The sequence below is a fragment of the Homo sapiens genome, chromosome 14, assembly GCF_000001405.40.
Source record: "Homo sapiens chromosome 14, GRCh38.p14 Primary Assembly".
NCBI lineage: Eukaryota > Metazoa > Chordata > Mammalia > Primates > Hominidae > Homo > Homo sapiens.
In genome coordinates, this window is record NC_000014.9 from 38,001,031 (window position 1) to 38,018,520 (window position 17,490).

At 40.6% G+C, this 17,490-nt stretch overlaps 1 long non-coding RNA gene across 2 annotated transcripts in view, besides 1 other annotated feature; it reads right to left on the reverse strand.

Annotated features, from left to right (window-relative positions):
- Positions 1–2,080: 2,080 nt before the first annotated feature.
- LOC105370456 (uncharacterized) overlaps positions 2,081–17,490 on the reverse strand; it is a 36,505-nt gene continuing 21,095 nt past the window's right edge. The window contains exons 2-3 of one of the 2 annotated variants that reach the window (XR_943760.4): positions 6,154–6,223; positions 2,081–2,338 (exon numbers count right to left, since the gene is read on the reverse strand). This is a non-coding gene — a long non-coding RNA (uncharacterized LOC105370456). The remainder of the gene's footprint in view (positions 2,339–6,153; positions 6,224–17,490) is intronic. The other variant, XR_943761.4, reaches the window with a different exon arrangement.
- Positions 3,396–3,932: an enhancer, noted in NCBI's record as "OCT4-NANOG hESC enhancer chr14:38473631-38474167 (GRCh37/hg19 assembly coordinates)". NCBI's record gives its function as "activates a minimal SCP1, AML or CMV promoter by ChIP-STARR-seq in naive H9 embryonic stem cells {active_cell/tissue: H9 hESC(naive)}" and the evidence as "EXISTENCE:reporter gene assay evidence [ECO:0000049][PMID:30033119]".

The following is a 17,490-nucleotide window of genomic DNA, read 5'->3' on the forward strand; positions in this document are numbered from 1 at the left end:
TTATCAAATCCTGTGTCTCCCCTCACCTACCTCTAGTAGAGTCATTGACAGAATACCTCTTTCTTGCTCTATCATTAGCCCAGGGTGACTTGTAGAAGCACTGGCTTTTCAATAGCTAGAACAAAAGAAGGATGGAAATGGGAGTTGCAAAGAAATATCCTGATAATGTTTTTATTTCCTTCCTCCCTTCTTCTCATCCTCTCTCCTTTCTTTCCTACCTTTCCTCATTTTTGCAAAAGCATGGCGTACCTACTTGCTTCTGTCATCCATTGGGAATGAGCAAGGCTGCCAATGATAAGACATTTACTGGTCTATCGGACTTAGCACCTTTCTCTGATTCTGTGGCCACACCAACACAGGGATATTCTCACTGGCTGTCCTTGGACAAATGGGCAGCAGGTCTCAGCGGCCATGTTGACTGACAATAATGCACTGGTCAGTCTCAGCTGAAAGCAACTCCCAGCAAACAGGGCCTGGGTCCAAGACAAACTTACATAATTTTCAGACTCATTGGAGGTGTATAATTAAACAGATGCTGAGGGCTGGCTTTTGACAGTTTATGTCCCTCAAGTGAGTTAACAAATAGTAAAAGCCTTCCCTGTAAAATGTAAAGTGAACCTTTTTTGCTATTCCTTTCCTTGGTCACACACAAGCTGCAGGAGATTATAGAGATTAGTTGGCTAGTAGTGTTATTCAAATTTAATGCACACATAAATCACCTGGGAGTGAAGATTCTAATTCGGTAGGTCTGGGGTGAGGCCTAAGATTCTGCATGTCTAATAAGCACCCAGCTAATGCTGCTGTTGCTGCCCCAGGACCACACTTTGAGAAACAAGGGGCTATTATATTGGAATACCTGTGCTCCTATTTTTCAAGGATGTTTACTTTTGTCAGATTCAGTTTGAAAATGTGTTCTTAAGTGATGCTTAGTGGGATTCCTTAGTGAAGCTCTACAAATTAGCTTGAAAGACAGAAACCCGAATACAAATAGATAGTCTACCCACAACTAAAGCCTTTTTAGAGGCTAAAGTTTATCCATGTCTTTATAAACCTTGTTTTTTTTTGATATGGTCAAAGCGTGGAGAACCACAAGGAAAACTTAGTGATCATGAAAGTCAATGGTAGAGGCCATTCCAGTTTACAGGATACTTGTGACTGAGACAAGGAGACACTTCCTATATTGCCAGAGACTCTTTGCAAACCTGGACAACAAATTGACTTCTCTCTACCTCAGTTTCTATAGTCACAAGTTGCGAATGTGATAGGATGTATCATGTATAATATAGCTTGAAGGATTTGGTGAGGTTCTTTATTGAGATTATGCAATCAAACATGGGAATTATGACTTATAGACTACATATTCAATCATATTGCATTCAGATGGATCTAGGCAAATACATAAAATATAATTTTTAATAACAAAAATGCATAAAATGAGACAGTGCAAATGCTTACCATGTAGTAACACATTTTATTTCTCAAACAATGCTATGAGAAAGGAATTATAGTTATCTCTATTATTTGGATAGACAAATAGAGATGCCAAGGTGATAAGTAACTTCACCCTGCATTAAACCAAGCTCATGGACCTTTTATGGTAGGAGGTTGCAAACTGGGGATCTGTAGATAGGTTTTGTTTGAGCTGCCTGGAGATCTTTTAAAAGTTGAATTAGTTTTGACACTTACAGGCTATTTCCCACTTCTTTTGGAAAAAACAGAGTATTTGGCGCTTTAGGCTTGCATTTCCACATAGCAACAATCAGCTGGTACAGATAGCGACTCTGCCCTTATAAGGGCTGTGAGTACTCCAGCTTGTTGTAGTTCTACCTGGCCCACTTTACTTATATTTATTATTATTTCCTCACTTGTGCACTATTTGAGTTGGAAACCCCGGTGTACCTATCATCATCAAAGATCTTTATATAACTGGGAATGACCACCCTTCGCTAGTGTTTTGTTGAGGTTTCACAGGGATGAAAGTCACTGTGCTGGGTTCCACAGAACCTAGGCACTGAGGACAAATAGCTCAGCCCTCAAGTTTTTTTTTCCGATGACATCACAGACAGAACTATTTCCAGAATTCCAGAAGTATAATATTTATTTCTATATTACAGTATGATATATATACTATATGCTTCTATATTATATTAATATTTACATCTATATTACAGTATAACATTCTGTGTGCCATCAAGGAACATGGTTAAGTAACACTATGGCTCAAGGTGCGACTCCACACTGACGTAGCAGTAGTGACTCCGTTGTGCTCCATTTTGCCTGTCCATCTCTTCTCAGATTTGCCATTTTGTCTGCATCTTGATTTTTGCAATAATCCATGCTGTAAGATGCAAAGGGAGCTGAGTAAATTTCAAGGACTTGTACTTTAAAAGTCTTCATACTACACACACACGCACACACACACAAACACATACACGTGTGTGTATATATATGTGTGTATATATATATACAGAGAGAGAGAGAGAAATGTGAGATAGTTTTACTTTTTAGATGTTTTATCTTTTAGAAAAGAATTGGGTTATTTTCTTAGATAGTTAGTTGAATCAAGGCATTTTCAAAGTCAATTTGGGTATGACTGACTCGTCACCTTCCACAATCTGGGTCATCAGTGGCATGGTTCTTCTATACAGAATGTCTGGGCCCTGAAGACAGTCAGGGAAGAGTATGTGTGTGTGTGTGGTGGGGGGCGGGGGTGGGGATGGGGCATGGAGATCTATTCTGATGAAGAGAGGACTGATTCAAGGGAAAACTATTTTTCTGGCCTGGGTTAGTAGGAAGGGGCAGAGTATATATGGATAAGGCAGGTGAACATGCTTTTAATTAGCCTGAAACACCAGCTGGCATAGATTTCACCTGCATCCAAGCAATCGTGTAAGGATAGGAGCTTAGGAGAGAGCTCATTGTTATTCCTGAGGCATTCCCGGGTCCTCGGCCTCTAAGAAAGCAGCACCTGCTATAAATCTCCGTGTTCTCTGATTTCTGCAATCTTTCAGCAAAGCCCTTCTGCTCTCCATTCTGGAGCAGTTTCACAGAATGTGTTTTTGAACTATCTGTCCCCAAGAAGTTTCAGGGCCTCAACCAGTCCACACAGCTTCAAGGGCAGCAGGGGCAGGTGCAGGAATGCTGGGCCCATCCTAGAGACTGATAGTGGAGGCTGTGCAAGCAGGTATAGCTGGCAGGCAGAACACAGAAGTCATGGAAAGGGAGAAAAAAGAGAGCAAGTTGTTTCTGAGGGCAAGGTGTGCGTGTGTGTGAGTGGGGTGGGGTGGGGTGTTGGAGGAAAAGGTTGGGGCAGAAAAAGTAAGCAGGAAAAGGAGGAACTGGCAAGCAGAGGGGACAGTCAACAAGGGTTTGTGAAGTGTGATGGGGAAAGGAATATAATTTCAATAGCAAACTTTACTGGGCTCTCCTATGGGACAGGCACTGCTTTAAGCACTATGAGGTACTATTATAATTCTCATTTTACAGAAGAGGAAGCAGAAAGACAGCAGGGTTAAACAATTTGGTTAATGTCACACGGTTAGTAATTTGTAGCACTAGGATTTAAACCCAGACGGTCTAATCCTACTGCCCAAGCTCATCAAACCCCCTGCTGCTAGGGTACTTATAAAGCAGAAGAGGATGAAAGAAACAAGGCTGAGGGTGAGCTGTTTAGAAGAGAGAGGAACTGAGAAGGTGGAGAGTTCTCCACCTGCTGGAATCACATCCTGGGTGAGGGCCACCTGAGACTGGAAACCAGAGGACCAAGGTGTCTGCTTTTGCTGCACCACTTGTTAATATGACTTTGAGCCTCAGTTTCCTTATCTGCAAAGTATGAGTGACAACCTGAGTAACTGCTTGTAAGGATGAAATGAAATAAGTTAGAACACACTTTGGGCATTCTCAGATGCTTTGTATGTGGTGGGACTCTAGATGCTGAGCTATGTTTCTCTTAACACATAAAGTAGGAAGCTTAATTTGATCATTGCACCTGCATTCACAGGAAGCCACTTTTCTTCTGTGATGCATTTTCCTGGCTAATGTTCCTATGTCTCTGCTGTTGGGCAGAGCTGTCATCTTCTTTATCTGGCTCTTGTGGCTCTGTTGATTTTTCCAAGTGTCTGAAAGAGCTGTACATTTTCTTACTTCACAGGATCAGTGATCCTAGCCTCCTGAGCCTGTATTATTGAACATCCTGTTACTTACTGCCACTGCTAAGTGGTATCAGTGGCAAAGTCACTGCTATGAACTCAACAGCCACTTGGACTCCTAAAGACCATATTTTTCCTATCTTGCCATAGCAAGATGATTTGCTCCAAGTCAAACAGAATTGATTTTTCAATTTTCTTTCCAGCGACTAATACCATCCCAGAGGTTACCAATCCTTGTTTTTACTGTCCCTCATGTTGTTTAAAGGATGCTTTCTAATTGGATGAAGTGGGAAGAGAAAGGGTGTGTGCAATTGGGAGGAGAGGAAGCAGGCAGTAATACCACCTTCTTCCCATCTCACCTTTACATAGGTCATCTCAACACATCACTGTCTCTACCCAGAACCAGTGTAGGGACAGCAGTGACATGGGCAAGGCTTAGTGCGCTTTGGCCTTCCCTTTTGGGGACCTGCTCAGCAATCCACTTCGCCTTCTTACCCTTGTTTCATTCTCTGCAGCTTGTTAATTCTTACTTAAACTGTCACTGCTGCTAATGGTGGTTGACTTTTAATAGAAAAATGTGAAAAAGAAAAGCCTTTAAGACTGCCCCCCCCTAAAATACATATTTCTGGAGATAGAATGTTCAGTTTTGGCACCAGAATTCCTTGTACCCCAAATTCCTGATTCTGGGCCTTTTCACTTTTGGCTCCTTCTGCTTTGCTTTTCCTCCTGATCGTCAACTGGCTCTATGCATTTCTTCATTCAGGTCTCTGCTCAAATGTCACCTCCCTAGAGAAGTTTTAAATTGCTTTTTTATGTAGTCATAATCCCCCGCCAACCCTGATCTTGCTTTATTTTTTTCATAATGCTTATCACTACTTGACACTATATTCTATATTTGTTAATTGTCTGTGTACCTCGAAAAGAATGTAATCTGTATGAACGTCAGGAGCGTCGTCTGTTTCAATTACTGCTGTGTTCGCTAAAGCAGGATCTTATTAGGGTCTATAAGATTTTTAAAATATATTCAAGTAAGTCATTGAAAAAAGTTTTTCTCATGCTTCCTAATCTTGTTAGATATGATATGCCTTCATTTTTCTGTTTGATATGTTTATGGCTTTAGCATTTTTTCTACATTTATTCATTGATTAATAAAAATCTTAACATTTATTAAGTTGCAGTGATTGGGCTGGTGCTGAGAATAAAAAGGTAACAGCACAGTCCCATTCTTCAAGATGCTCACAGTCAAGTGAAGAAGGCAGATGAGTAACAGACAAGTGCAATGGATGTGAGATGCGAAGCTTGGCAAGACAATACACATTCTGTAGCATCTCAGAATAAATGAGAATTAGCCAGAAGACCTGGGGGTATGGGGATGTCTTTCCAGGCAGAGACTAGTGTATGTTAAGGTCAAGAAGGTATAAGTGGCTGAGTGTGGTGGCTCACACCTGTAATCCCAGCACTTTGGGAGGCCAAGGCAGGCAGATCACCTGAGGTCAGGAGTTGGAGACCAACCTGGCCCACATGGTGAAACCCTGTCTCTACTAAAAAAATAAATAAATAAATAAATAAATAAATAAATAAATAAATAAATAAATAAATTAGCGAGTATGGTGGCAGGTGCCCCTAATCCCAACTGCTCTGGAGGCTGAGGCAGGAGAATCACTTAAACCCGGTAGGGGGAGGTTGCAGTGAGCCAAGATTGTGCCATTGGACTCCAGCCTGGGCGAAAAGAGTGAGACTCTGTCTCAATAAAAAAGAAGAAGAAGAAGAATTAAAAAAAAAAGAAGGTGTAAGCATTCATGGCAAATCCTTTGAGGTGAAGGCAGTTCAAAAAGCCCATCCTAAAGGACATGAACAAATATTGAGTGAGAAATCTGAAGATAAGTGAGGTGAGGTGGGAAATTATAAGAAGTAATGAATGCCATTTCAAAGAGTTTGAACTTCTTTAAAGACACCAAAGGATTTTAAATAAGGGAAAAATATAATTAGATATGTGTTGATTTACCCTGCTGCTTCCTCAAGGATTTTCTTTTACACCCAGAATTGGCATTGGCCACAATAGGTGAGCTGTGTAGCTATGGGAAAAAATTTTATTTATTTACATTAAATATGACTGCAGTCAGCAACAAAAAGATAAAAAGGATCTAAAGTATACAAACAGTATTCTGGTTAGCATACTTATTTTTTAAACCTTTTTAAATAGAAAATTTTAAGCATAAACCAAATAAGCAAATTGTATAATTAGCCTTCATCTGTCCATCATTCAGATTCAGCAATTGTCAATATTCTATGATTCTTGTTTCATCTGAACCCCTACTCATTTATCGCTGTTACCCTACCTCAATTATCACTGTTACAGTTCTAACAGCTCTTTTAAATATACAGTTTATATATGTCTATTGAAGTGCACCAATCCTAGCTGTAGGATTTTGACTCCTGCCCATGCCTCTGCTCAGGGCAGGATTGATTGACAGCCATCTAAGAACCAATAATGGGACACTGGAGCCCTGTAGAAGAAGCTGAGGGTTGAGGTAGAACAAAGCAGGAGGGGCAGAGGAGGGTAGAGACTGTCATAAGCAAACTGTACACTTTCCTATGCTTTCTTTTTTGATCTCACTCCCACTGAAACTTCCAGGCCTTTGGTCCTCTTATGCCAATGACAAGTCATGTGGGAAGGATGAAATTAGTTCATATCATAGGGTGCTATTTCTTTCTAAACTCTATGGCATTTTCTTTAAATCAACTTTATTGAGGCGTAATTTAGATACAAAAAGCACATCCACTTTAAATGAGCAGTTCAATAAGTATTGACAAATTTATGTATACCTGTGAACCACCACCACAACCAAGATTTAAGGCATTTCCATCTCCTCAGACAGGTTCCCTGTGCCCCTTCCCAGTCCTATGCCTCCAACCATGGCAACCTCTACTGATATTCCTCACCTAAGATCAGTTTTGCCTTTTCTAAAATTTCATATAAAAGGAATTATTCAGTATGTACTGCTTTGTGTCCAGTGTCTATTCTTTCGAGCATAATATTTGTGATGACAATCCATTTTGTCATGTCAGTAGTTCCTTTCTTTCTATTGCTGAGCAGTATTCCATTTAGATGGATATGCCACAAATTAGTGATCCATTCACCTGTTGATTTTTTTTTTCAGTTTGGGGCTATTACAAATAAAGCAGCTATGAATATTTGTATATTGGTCTTTGTATGGAAAATATATTTTTGTTTCTCTTTGGTAAATACCTAGAAGTAGAATTACTGTTAAACAGATGCATATTCAACTTTTTAAGACACTTTCAAGTAGTTTTCCAAAGTGGTTGTATTATTTTACATTCCACCAGCAATATATGTGAGTTCCAGGCACTCCACATCTTTGCTTACATTTAATGTGGTCCATCTCTTATGTTATTCATTCTAGAGGATGTGTAGTGCTTTCTTACTGAGGTTTAATTTTGCCTCTGATGACTAATGATATTAAGTGCTTTTGCATGTGCTTAATGGTATTTGTATATCTTCCTTTGAAAAATGCCTGTTTAAGTTTTTGAATCATTTATTGGGTTTTTATCTTTTCATTATTGAGTTATATAAATTCTTTCTATATTGTATATGTCTTTGTCAGATGTATGTTTTGTGAATATTTTCTGTCAGTGTATGGAGGAAATTTTTATTAATTCGAGATGGAGTCTTGCTCTCTCACCCAGGCTGGGGTGCAGTGGCATGATCTTGGCTCACTGCAACCTCCACCTCCTGGGTTTAAGCAGTTCTCCTGCCTCAGCCTCCCGAGTAGCTGGGATTAAAGGCACATGCCACCATGCCCGGCTAATTTTTGTATTTTCAGTATAGACAGGGTTTCACCATGTTGGCCAGATTGGTCTCAAACTCCTGACCTCGTGATCTGCCTGCTTCAGCCTCCCAAAGTGCTGGGATTACAGGCATGAGCCACTGCGCCTGGCCCAATTTTTCAGTTTTCTAAATAATTATTGATTTCTGTGTCATCAAAAAATCTCACCTCTTAAGATCTTGAGGATATTCTCTTATGTTTTATTTTAAAACTTTATAGTTTTAGGTTTTACATTTAGGTCAAGGTTCCAGTTTGAATTAATTTTTGAATGGGGTGAAGGAGGGGTCAAGGTACACTTTTTGAGGTCAGTTTGGATGTGTGGGTTTAAGGTGTCTTTGAGAACCTAGGATAGAACAATTAGGATTATAAACATAAATTCAGGAATGATTATCATTTAAGCACATAAGCTGTAGTTGACTTCTTATACATGGGACACAAGGATCAGGCAAAGGTAAAGGTAAAGGATTAAATGAAGACTTAAGCGTTGCTGCCACTTACAGGACCAGTGAAGGAGAATAGAAAGCATCCAGGAAGATGGGAGTGGTTTGAGAGACAAGATTGAGAAAATTTCACACAGGAGGGTAATGTCCAAAATATCAAATGCTGAATGCAGGTGAAGGAAGAAAAGATCAATATTAACAGGACTGTGTTTGTTTGTTTGTTTGTTTGTTTGCAAGTAACAAATCTGACTCAAACCAGCTTTGATTAAGAGACAAATATATGGACCAGGTAGTCCACTAAGAGCAAAGATAGAAGCTGGTTTTCTATACAACTGCACCAGAAAAGAGAAGACTTCTGGACTCTGTGTTTCTTAAGTTTCCTTCCTGCATGTTGGCTTCATTTTCTCCTGTTATAAATCAGCAGTTCAGTGAAAGACAGGGTAATTAATATCTCTTGGCTTAAAATCTTACAGCTTCTCCATTATAGAGTAACTGAGGCTTTCTCTATTTCACTTTTTTTTTTCTCATCTCAGTTAAAAAAAATAATCTCTGGAAGGGTTCTTTTTTTTTTTTTTTTGAGACAGAGTCTTGCTCTGTTCCTCAGGCTGGAGTGCAGTGGTGCGATCTAAGCTCACTGCAAGCTCCGCCTCCCGGGTTCACGCCATTCTCCTGCCTCAGCCTCCTGAGTAGCTGGGACTACAGGTGCCCGCCACCATGCCTGGCTAATTTTTTCAATTTTTTAGTAGAGACGGGGTTTCACTGTGTTACCCAGGATGGTCTTGATCTCCTGACCTCGTGATCCACCCGCCTCGGCCTCCCAAAGTGCTGGGATTACAGGCATGAGACACCACGCCTGGCCTGGAAGGGTTCTGAGTAAGCCTAGCTCTAGACAAATCCCACTGCCTGGATAAGTGTTATGAGAGATGTGATGCCAAAGATGGCATCTCCAATTGGAAATATAGTATAATGTAGCAGTTAAGAGTATAGACTCTCGAGCTGCCTGGCTGGGTTCAGATTTCCAGTCACTCACTTACTAGCTATGTGAAAAAGTGATATAGTTTGAATACTTGTCCCCACCCAAATCTCATGTTGAATTATAATCCCCAAGACTGGAGGTGGGGCCCAGTGGGAGGTGTTTGGGTCATAGGGGTGGATTCCTCATGACTTAGTGCTGTCCTCATGATATTGGGTGAATTCTTGTGAGATTTGGTCATTTAAAAGTGTGGGTACCTTCCCCCACCACTCTCTCTCTCTTGCTCCTACTTTCATCATATAATGTGTCTGCTCCCCCATCACATTCTACTGTGATTATAAGCTTCCTGAGGCCTCCCAAGAAGCCAAGCCAATGTCAGCATCATGCTTTCTGTAAAGCCTGCAGAACTATGCACCAACTAGACCTCTTTTCTTTATAAATTACCCAATCTCAGGAATTTTTTATAGCAATGCAAAAACAACATAATACCAAAAAATTGGTACTGTGGGGTGGGACATTGCTATAAAGATACCTGAAAATTTGGAAGTGACTTTGGAACTGGGTAACTGGCAGAGGTTGGAAGAGCTTGGAGGGCTCAGAATGTGGGAAAGAGAGTTTCTGGGGTGCCAGATGAGTTGGTCTCCCCTGTGTGAGAGGGGAGCCATGGGTGGCCTCTGAGGAGAAAGCTCTCCTTATTGCCTTCATGTCTTTCTGCCCCGAGATCATAACTGCTCAGCAGCATTCCACAGGTTGCTCAGGGAGATAACACTCCCTTGAAGCAGTGGAGTATAATCAAACATCTTGGCTCCATCTGAAACCTACTCCTATCCATTTCAGTCTTGATAAGTTAAAGATATTAAGTAGTTTAGGCACATGCCTTTGCTCAAGGAAATTCACAGAAACCACTACTGCTATACATCTTGTTGAATGACTCATAAGTTCTCCTTCACTGATTAATCCTTTTCCTCATCCCTTCCTACCCCTCCCATCTGCCCTAAGAACAAAGAGCTTGTAAACCAATAAATTAGGCAAAGCCAAAGAGCTCTGGGCCGTGAGCAAGCCTCTGACACTCCAGTCCCCTGGACCAGCCTTTTAAACACTTATTCTGTCTCTTTCTAACTCCTTTGTCTCTGCCGGACTTGGGGAACCTGCCGGGTGGTGTGGGGCTGGTTTCCCCAACACAGAAGAAGACAGCAAGATGGGGAAAGTTTGGTACTTCTTAGAGACCAGTTAAATGGTTGTGACTGAAATGTTAATAGTGATATGGACAGTGAAGGCCAGCCTGATGAGGTCTCAGATGGAAATAAGGAACTTATTGAGAACTGGAGCAAAGGTCACATGTATCATACCTTAGCAACAAACTAGGCTACATTGTGTCCATGGCCTAAGGCTCTGTGGAAGTTTGAACTTCAGAGTGAATGATTTAGGGTATCTGGTGGAAGAAATTTTGAAGCAGCAAAGGATTCAAGGTATGGCCTGGCTGCTTCTAACAGCCTAATTCAGATGTGGGAATAAAGAAATGACTTGAATTTTGAATTTATATTTAAAAAGGAAGCAGAATGTAAAAGATTGGAAAATTTACACCGTTGCCACATAGCAAAGGAAAAAAAAGCTTTTTCTGGGAGAGGAATTCAAGCAGGCTGTGAAGCAACCACTTGCTAGAGATATTTACATAACTAAAAGGGAGTAAAATGCTAATATCCAAGACAATGATGGGAAAAGGCCTCAAAGATATCTTTGGGATCTTCATGGCAGCCCCTCCTATCACAGGCCTAGTGGCCTAGGAGGACTAAATGGTTTCATGGGTCAGATCATGCTGCTCTGCACAACCTCAGGACACTGCTTTTTGCATCCAGGCTGCTCCAGCTCCAGCTGTGTCTCAAATGAGCCAAGGTATAGCTCAAGCTTCCATTTTGGAGAGTGCAAGCCATAAGTCTTGGCAGCTTCCATGTTGTGTTAAGCCTGCAGGCACACAAAATGCAAGAGTAAAAGAGGCTTGGCAGCCTCTTCCTACATTTCAGAGGGGTATGAGAAAGCCTAGGTGCCCAGACAAGAGCCTACTGAAGGAGTGGAGTCCTCAAAAAGAATCTCTACTAGGATGGGACAGAGGGGAAATGTGGGATTGGAGGCCCTACACAGATTTCCCACTGTGTGTGGGGTACTGCCTAGTGGAGTGGTGAGAAAAGGACCACTATCCTTCAGATCTGAGAATGGTAGATCCACCAGGAGCTTGCACTTTGCTCCTGGAAAAGCCTCAGGCGCTCAACATCCTGTGAGAGCAGCCTTGGAAATTTTACCCTGCAAAACCATAAAAACAGAGCTACCCAAGGCCTTGGGTGCCCACCCCTAGCATCAGTGTGCCCCGGATGTGGAACATGGAGTTAAAGGAGATTACTTTGGAGCTTTAAGATTTAATGACTGCTCTGCTGGGTTTTGAACTTGCATAGGGCCTGTAGCCCCTTTCCTTTGGGCAATTTCTCCCTTTTACTCAATTCCTATATCTCCATTGTATCCTTGAAGTAAAAAACTTGTTCTGAAGGGCCTTGCCTTGTCTCAGATGAGACTTTGGACTTTTGAGTTAATGTTGGAATGAATCAAGACTTTAGGAGACTGTTGGGAAGGCAAGACTGTATTTTACAATGTGAGAAGGACATGAAATTTGGGAAGGGCCAGGGGTAGAATAATATAGTTTGGATATTTGTCCCTTCCCAAATCTCATCTTGAATTGTGATCCACAATGCTGAAGGTGGGCTGGGTTGTGGGTATTTTTGGTCACGGGGATGGATCCCTCATGTTCTGGTGCTGTCTTCATGAAAGTAAGGTCTTGCAAGATTTTAAAAGTATGCAGCACCTCCCCACAACTCTCTCTCTCTTGCTCTTGCTTTCACCATCTGACATGCCTGCTTCCCCTTTGCTTTCTGATATGATTGCAAGCTTCCTGAGGCCTTCCCAGAAACTGAGCAGATGTCAGCACCATGCTTCTGTAAAGCCTGCAGAACTATAATCCAATTAAACCTCTTTTCTTTATAAATTTCCCAGCCTTAAGTATTTCTTTACAACAATGCAAAAATTTCCCAATACAGGAGGGGAGACTATAATTGTCCTTTGTGTAAACCGAAGGGCATCTGGAGGATTGGCACTGAGCATATGACAGTGACATCCAATGAAAGGTGGATGTAGAACCCAAACTGAATTGCTTTGTGAAGTGAATGGGAGGTGGAGAAGTAGACAATGAACAAAGACAATTCTAGAGGCTCAGTTGTGAAGAGAGAGAGAGGGGGTAATATGGTAATTACACAGGGATCAATGCCTGCATGTTTTAAAAACTAAGGGTAAAAATTTTAGTATAATTTATATATTAAGAAGATAGAGCCACTAAAAAGATGTTAATAATAGAGGTGAAATTAAGTGGAATGATAAGCAAGGAACACGAAAAGTAAAGGAAGGATGCAATCAAGAGTTCTGTCTGGAAGGATTAGTCTCAGGCAAGCTCATACTGAAAGAAAGAGAAAAGAAGAATGTGGAGGAGAGAAATACGTAGATGGAAGGAAGGGCGAAGATGGAAAGGCAAGCATCTTGAAAGGTGAGACTATGTCTTAGGTGTCTTTGAATTGCCACCACTCAGTGTGGCACTGCATGTGGTAGGCATGAATAAACATTTCTGCAGTTGAATTGAGCTCATGCCCAATGGCCTCTGTTCTCTCCATAAAGTTGAGGTTTTGACATTGAAGGGAATGAGAAGAACATAAGGTAAGGAAAGGATGGAAAGATAAAGCTATGGACTAGCTTTGTGGTATATAGAATAGATGCCATTGTCAGACAGATGAAGATGCTTTTCTTTTTATGCACCTTGTAAAGTATGTGCAATATGGAGAGGGAATTGTTTCATCCTCAGTGTGCAAAAGAAAAGAGTAATTACTTTTGTGCAGATAGGATTTTTAAGTCTCTATATTAGAAGTCTGTCTTCATTAGAAGTTTGTTGGGGTTCAAAAATGTTGCAGAGAAGATTTTGGACTTCAACTCTGATTTTACTCTCTCTTTTTTCTTTCTTTTCCTTAATTCCTTATATCTCACTGCATATTATCAATTTAGCTGATCCCTCTCTAGTCTAACCAGCAGTACCTTTACCCAAAGCTTTCAGAAATGTCCAAGGTTTAAACTCAAGGAGTCAGAGATGTTACTCTAAGGGTCACCTCTCTTCTGGAGAATAGAATATAAGAAGAACATAAGACAAAGCACAGATTTTTATGAAACATGATTGAGTGGAGCAAATGTAACACAGTTCTAAATTTACAAATAATCCTTAATGACCTTCTGCTAGATAAAGCAGCAGATTGGATAAAATGCATATTTCATGCTGTATATTTATAACTATTCATCTATATTCTGAAATGCAATAATGTTTCGAATATATTAATTTGAATATCAAATATAATGTATAGATATTCTGGTTACTGGGCACTGTTATTTCCTATGAAAGCAATGAAGGAAAGGTTATTAGATTTTTTAAGGCCGTTTTGCACATGTTTCCGTCACCATCATTCTGCCTAAAGCTTAAAATCTTTAGGACCCACATTTTTACTACAAAAGTAGTTTATATCCTTTGTATGCTGGTGAATTTCATGATCATGAGGTATCCTATCTATCTTTCTTTCTGTATTAGTCCATTTTCACACTGCTCATAAAGACATACCTGAGACTGAGCAATTTACAGAAGAAAGAGGTTTAATTGGACTTAGAGTTCTACGTGGCTGGGGAAGCCTCACAATCATGGTGGAAGGCAAGGAGGAGCAAGTCACATCTTATGTGGATAATGGCAGGCAAAAAATGAGAGAGCTTGTGCAGGGGAATGCCTCTTTTTAAAATAATCAGATCTCAGAGACTTATTCACTATCATGAGAACAGAATGGGAAAGACTTGCCCCCATGATTTAATTACCTCCTACCAGGTTCCTCCCACAACATGTGGGAATTCAAGATGAGATTTGGGTGGGGACACAGCCAAACCATATCATCTTTCCTATTTTATTCAAATGTTACTAGGAACTGATTAAATTCTAGAAAACAGTAAACACTCAAACATCACCTACTATATGAAGGCTTCCCTAGCCTTAACCAGCTATTGGTTTCTTCCTCTATCTGTTCCTGTAGCTTCGTGGTCTTTTACCCACCTATAAAAATCTATATAGTGTTTTATAGTTACATTTTGATTTTATTATTACCTTCTCTAGATTGATGTAAGGCAGAGATTATGTCATTTTTCTCTTTGTATCTTTTGGGAGACAATTTTCTTGGCATTTCTGCACATATTGCATCAATTTTTATTATGGACTGTATTTTCAAAAATGTTTGTATAGCAAACAACCTTGGAAAATGTAGTGTCTTACCCTACAACAGAAGGTAGACTTTCTTCTGGCTAGGATAATAAAAATATTTCCCTTGAGGCAAATGATTAGGAGGTATTCTAGCAATCTCCTTTAAAGGATGGAATTTCCTAAGCTCCAGGTTCCTCAGCTGTGACACAAATCCACTGTGGGTGCAGTATCCACCTGGGATGCCTTAATATCACTTGCATACAACTAAGAGGAGGGTGGTGATGGAGAAGGGAGATTGGTGTGAACATGAAGCTCATACTGCCCACTGTGCTGTGAGTAATCAAGTCCTTTTCTCTGACCCCAGAGTATCATGTCTTCTACAACATCCACGAAATGGGGCAGGCTTGTTAGCTTGCAAGTAAGGTAAAGTCTCAGACCTTCACAGTTCTTGGCAGTTTCTCTAATATATAGCATGTTGTCTGGAAGTGTAGGGGAATGAAGTAGATTTTCAGTTTTCGAGTACATTTAATCTAACATACTTTGATTTTAACTACAGAAGAGATATTTTCATCATTTTTTAAGTTACAAGCTGTATTATCTTTGTAAATTACTTAATCTGTCTATATCTCAGTTTCCTTATGTGTAAAATGGGAAAAATAAAAGTATTGGCCTTATAGGTTTGTGGTGGAAATGGAGATGTACTGACAAGACCCCTCTTCTAGGAAAGACCTGCCCAGCTGTAAAGACAATAGTCAGCAGACGGCCTCCATCAATTTGCCCTTAAGGTCTGCCTGAGATGCAGAGTCACATTACCTGAGATCATTCCCACGTTTGGGCAATCTGCATCCAGTAATGGTGCAGTGTGTTTATGGTTTTCATAAAGGATCAGTCATTTGGGTCCCATATGGGACAACTTTGTTGGGCAATGTAATTGCTTCAGAGCCCCCTGCTGGTTTGGCTGAGGCCTTGTCAGGCCTACACCACAATTCAATTTCTCTCTCAGGGCAATTGTGCTTCCTTTCACAAATTTCCCTTTCTTTTACAAGTTTTGATTCTTGACAGACATTCTCCAAACTCTGTCCTAGCATCAGCTTCTGGAGCACTCAAACTGCATCAGGGGTATTGTAGGTAGTAAGAGAGTAAGAGCACATCAGTCATTCAATGCAATCCTTGTATGCAGTTGGTATACATTAAATATTAGCTTCTTATTGTTATAATTAATATTATTATGATGATCAACTATATGGAACACCCTAAAAGCATGGTCCCTGAAACCCAGCATGCTGGTGCTCTCCAAAAGTGTGTTTGGTAAAGATGAAAAGGATAATTAAGTTACTAAAATCCTACCATAATGGGTGATAGTTGAAACAATCAGAGATATTCAATCTAGAGAAAGAAAGCTTTGGAAAGCATCTGGTAGCTGCCTGACAATACTCAAATAGCTGTGATCTGAAAGTGAGATTAGACTGATTCTGAGGGAACCCAGAAGTGAAGACAGGGCCTTGCTGACCTGCATAGCCTCAGGACACTGTTCCCTGCCTCTATGCCACTCTGTCTCCAGCCTTGGCTCAAAGAAGCCCATGTGCAGCGTGGCCCACCACTTCACAGGGTGCAAGCTGTAAGCTTTGGTGGCTCCCGTGTATTTTTTTACAGCAATGCAAGAACAGACTAACACACCTTCATTTTAAAAGTTGCCCAAGAAGAGACGGGCAACTTTGTCAAGGAGTCAAATTGCTTTTGGGCTGTGGGGGAGGAGAATGGTGCTGTAACCCTTGATAATTTTAAGTTTGAAAGTTATTAAACTTAATCATATGTACTGGGGTAGCCCTCCCTGGCCCCTGAGGTGAAACTTACTGGAAGAAAAGTCACGTTCTTTATTCCAAAACTGTTAACACAAGCCTGTCAAAAGGTCCTAGAGAGCTAGCTCAAAGCACAGCCTATGGTGAACTCAGCATTTCTTTCATTATAAGGTGGTCTGTTAAGAGTTTGAGTGGGTGTGTGCTTGTGTGTGTGTGTGTGTGTGTGTATGTGTATATGTGTGTGTCACAGGAGAAGATAAGAATCATATCTTTTTACCCTGGGTTAATGTAGTTACACATTTTCTCTTCCCTCAATTCATGACAATGTCCTGTATCCCCTGTAGTTCTGAAGGTGCTGTGCTGTTGACAACACCCTGGTTATGGGCCTCTCCTCTGTGGACGTGGGCAGGCTATGTGGACAAGCTAGAGAGGATAGTTTCATCATCTGCAGCCAGTTCCAGTTGGTATCAGGGTCAGCTTCTTTGTGGCTGTTTGGATGGAGCAAAGTTACACATAATAGATGTGAATTTATATATGTGTGTTTGTGTGTAGAGAGGGTTGGTGGTAGATGAAAGGATGTATTGTCAAAATAGATATTTCCAGTCCATATCCAAAACTAATTTTTTGTGTCAACATAGGGCCTTATCAAAAAGCCCTTTTGTGAGTTTTCTGAACAAGGATATTCATGTTTTCAGCTGAACGTACTGCTAGGAAAGTCTCCTGAGGTGCAAGGACAGCAGGATATTTCAGGCTATAGTAAATGGCCCACTCTCCTTTCTTTGGTTATATTAATTTGAGAGACTACTCTTGGGTAGTCATTACAAGGTTGTAACACAAAGGATTCAGTCTCTTAGGGAAACTTTTTCCAGTTTCCTATAATGCTTTATGTGGGGAGACCAGAGGTAGTTGTAACACTGAGAAGAGAAAATTTGCCTTTTTCTGCTCTCTCCTGAGAAACTATCACCAAA